Source organism: Homo sapiens, chromosome 6 (assembly GCF_000001405.40).
Source record: "Homo sapiens chromosome 6, GRCh38.p14 Primary Assembly".
In the NCBI taxonomy this organism is placed as follows: domain Eukaryota; kingdom Metazoa; phylum Chordata; class Mammalia; order Primates; family Hominidae; genus Homo; species Homo sapiens.
Window position 1 is genome coordinate 68081873 of NC_000006.12, and position 3412 is coordinate 68085284.

The 3412-nt window shown below is 30.7% G+C and overlaps 1 annotated feature.

The window, feature by feature from the left end:
- Nucleotides 312-512: a silencer, noted in NCBI's record as "peak5880 fragment used in MPRA reporter construct". NCBI's record gives its function as "represses an SCP1 promoter by STARR-seq MPRAs in K562 erythroleukemia cells {active_cell/tissue: K562}" and the evidence as "EXISTENCE:reporter gene assay evidence [ECO:0000049][PMID:32103011]".

Genomic DNA, 3412 nt, shown 5'->3' on the forward strand with positions numbered 1-3412 from the left:
GTTTCTAAAAACGTACATTAAGAATATTGGAACTTCATTGAATAGGTATATAAATTTGAGAATAATTAACATCATTAGAATGCTAATGTCACATTCAAGGGCATCAACTGTCTTCTCATAATTCAGCTTATCTTCTATTACCTTTATCATGTTTTATATTTTCTTCCATAGATGTTTTATGTATTTTTAATTAGCTCATAAATAGTTTTTTAGTTTTTGTTGTAAATTGCTTATGTTAAATTATAGATTTAATGCTATTTGTTGTTTCTAAGCTGTAGGCAGCTGCCAGGTCAGCTCCATACTCTATCACAGATTTAGCAAGAAGAAAGAAGCCTAAATGGATTTAGACAATTTATTACTCATGACACAGCAGACCACATGTGCTCCATATTCCCATTGGTTTCACTTTCTCTCCTATCTACTGGGCCAAGGTAGAGAGGACTCATGTGGATGATAAACACATGATGGATCAGTGACACAGCTGAGGAATACTAAGCTTAGGACTCCTTCAAATCTTATAGGGATGCTCTGGTAGGCACACACATTCTCCCCTCCAAGGAGATGTATTATCTTATTACCTTGGAAAGTAAGCAAATCTCATCCTGGGAGGAAAAGGAAGACTTTAGCTTTAAATTTCTGGAATGTCTTGTACAAAAAATCTTAAATTCTGTCATTTCAGCACTTTGGGAGGCCAAAGCAAGAGGATTGCTCGAGCCCAGGAGTTTGAGACCAGACTGGACAACATAGTAAACCTCATCCCTACAAAAAAAAAAAAAAAGTAAAAAACGAAGCTGAAGGATCTTTTGAGCCCGGGAGGTCGAGATTGCAATGAGCCGTGATCATGCCATTACACTTACACCTGGGTGGCAGAGTGAGACCCTGCCTCAAAAAAATAAATAAATAAAAAATAAATCTTAAATTGACTATAAATGCTTTTGCTTAGAAGACCTAGATTGTCTAGAAACATAAGAGATCTACAAAGAACTATATCCAAATATTTAGTTATTTCTGATAGGGTTCCATTTCTCATTTTCAGAGAAAGCTGCCAGGATATGATCAGTGTTCCTAACAGTTCTTGCTGATTAGAAGAACTTCATCAGGAGTTAGTATTCAACACTCTACTGTACTGTAATATAATCTTTTTCTGCCTCTACTGCCCCATGCATGCATTATAGATGGGATTCACAAAAACACACAGAGAACAAATATTTGATTCCCCGAAGACAGTAATTTCAAATTCAACTTAGAACAAATATATTTTTCTCCAAAAGTCTAATCTATGATTTTATGTGGTTCACTTTATCAATTGATCATTCTAATTTTCTTGCCAACCTCTGGCATTCTGAGAAGTTCACCTTCCATTCACATATAAGAAGATGTCCTCATGTGTTTATAGTGTGGCTGTGAGTCATTGGGTGGCACCAACTCTTTGTGCCATTTCATTTATCTATTTTAAAGCAAACTTTCATCTGATTAGATCTACTTAATTTTGTTATAAATAGTCCTTTCATCCTATTGCTGTTTATAGAGTATCCTTCAGTGTATAAAAATAAAGGCAAATATAGCTATAATGTATTTTAGAAATACTCTACTATTACCTTTTCGCTTAACATATTTTTATACAATTATTATCTGGAACAAAGTTTCTCAAGCTTTGGTCGACATTAGTATCATCTATGAATTTTTTTTCTTGTATTTGCAATAAATAGAGATGTTCATATTTACAGAATCAAAATAAAAAACAGTGGAATATATACATGTATACATATATTTTAAATCCTTAAAAGTATTGCTGATAGGCATGATAGTTTGAGAGCAAATAGCTTGCATGTAGAAAATTTTTAAATAATAAATGAAAACTTGTAATTCTATAATGACTATTTTTAATCATGATTTTTTTTAGTGTTCAACCTGTCACCCTGCTCTTGTCTCAATACAATACACTCATTATTACTACTTCTAAAACTCTTCTTCACTTTCTATTTAGCACATAGAAAATTGATTTTTCTCTCTATCAATTTATAAAAAATAGAAGTCATAAAGAACATTTTAATGATATCTTCAGTGTCACAATTTAATTTCTATGCTTGATCTCCAAATTTTACAATTAATTTTTTCTGTGAATTTTTTTTAAAAGATTAAAAATATAAAAAATTAAAATCTATTGTAATTACAACCAATCATACATGATTATAAATATTTATATTCAACTCCTTTGTATATGCATCTATTTACAATTCATTTTACAAAAGTAACAATAATAGCTAACATGTTAAATGCTACTTTGTAAGGATATTTAATACCAACAGCACCACTGTGAGGTAGGTTTATATTAATTTAACCTAAAAGGCGAGGAATCTGAATCAAAGAGTTGAAGAAACTTACCTAAAGACCCATGATTACTAAGAGTAAGACTAGGCAATGAGTTTGGCATCTGATTCTGAATATTATGCAGTCAATTACTATATTGCCTCCATATGCAAAACATTTATAACTTGCTTTTTTGTTGTTGGCTTTTAAAAATATGTTATCAACATATTTGCATGTTATTAAATAAGCTACCACCACAATATTTTTAGTATTTGTATAGAAGTACCATTTATCTTATTAATCACTTACTATAGCACTAAATCTACAAGTATATGCTTATGTATTTATTATAAATTCTCATAATTGGGTGATTTTGTCAAAAATAAATATATTTTAAAGCTTTTGATGTGTTGTGCCCCAAAGAAAAATTGTACAATGTAGCACATCACCACATCCTCTCATTGTTGCATTTCCTCATTCTTCGTATACCCCTACTTTAATTTTAAACAATATCATTTTTCTGGATTTCTTTCTTAGTGTTCTTTCATCTTTTTTTGCCTCCTTTTACTTTAATTTTTTAAGTAGACAAATAAAAATTGTATATATGTCTGTGGTATACAACATAATGTTTTGAAATATGAATACATTATGGAATGGCTAAATAAAGCTAACTAATATATGCAGTATCTCATAAACTATTGTTTACTTGTGGTGAGAACACTTAAAATCTATTCTCTCAGCAATGTTCAAGAATACAGTACATTCTTCCTAACTGTAGTCACCATGTAGTACAACAGATCTCTTAAACGTCTACTCTTCAATTAGTAATTCTTAGCTTTGAAAATCTATATCTATATCATTGGGGAGTATATAAAGAACACTGAGCAAAATTCTCTTTCTGTTTAACACACAGACATCCTATTCCATAGAAATGAGACTATTTAAAAGTCCATAAAATGAAGCCATATAAAAGTCTCCAGATTTTGTCTTTCTTTTTCCTCTATACAGTTGTCCTGAATGAGATTATGTATTCCCGAAGCTTCAGATACTAAGAGACACTAAAAATAAATATTTCACTTAATTCTCTGCATACATCCTGAAC